The 592-nt window shown below is 37.0% G+C and overlaps 1 annotated feature.

Moving 5' to 3' along the window:
- Positions 417–592: a silencer, noted in NCBI's record as "fragment chr11:119751764-119751939 (GRCh37/hg19 assembly coordinates)". NCBI's record gives its function as "represses an EF-1alpha promoter that drives an FKBP-Casp9 reporter gene in an ReSE screen in K562 erythroleukemia cells {active_cell/tissue: K562}" and the evidence as "EXISTENCE:reporter gene assay evidence [ECO:0000049][PMID:32094911]".

Genomic DNA, 592 nt, shown 5'->3' with positions numbered 1-592 from the left:
ACAGAAAAGCGCTGACAAAGATGTTCTTCATTATATTGTTTCTAGTAGTGACTCAAATGTCCAAGAGGGGAAAATAATTAAAGATACATACAGACATATGTATATACAAATGCATACGTATACATACATAATAGAATACTATTTAGCAGATAAAAATGAGGCAGATCTATAGGTAGTGGAATTGAAATAGCTCCAAGTCATATTTTTAAGTGAAAAGAGCAAATTGCAAACCATATGTACCACATTTTAACATTTACATAAAAAACAAACAAAAGATCCTACATGTTTCTATTTGTATGTGTATGTAAAATGCATAGGCAGCTGTCTGTGAGGCTTCAGTCATTCCCTAGTCACCACTAGGAAGGGGGCTGGGAAGGAGCGAGAAAGGGAACACTTAGGCTTTATCAGTACTATGTGTATTTTTAAAATATAACTATATATACCTCCTATAGTTAAAAATAAATGTAAACATTTAGTTTTCCTTTGTGCACTTGCTGAGGGCGTGCCACTCGCATGTTCTGGCTCACCCACCTTGTGCTCTGCCACCTTGGATGAAGGAAGCACATGTTTCTGGTTCCTCCCCACCAGGGCT

The sequence above is a fragment of the Homo sapiens genome, chromosome 11 (assembly GCF_000001405.40).
Source record: "Homo sapiens chromosome 11, GRCh38.p14 Primary Assembly".
NCBI classification, from domain to species: Eukaryota; Metazoa; Chordata; class Mammalia; order Primates; family Hominidae; genus Homo; species Homo sapiens.
The sequence above is the reverse complement of the archived record's forward strand: the minus strand, read 5'-3'. Positions and strand labels throughout refer to the sequence as shown.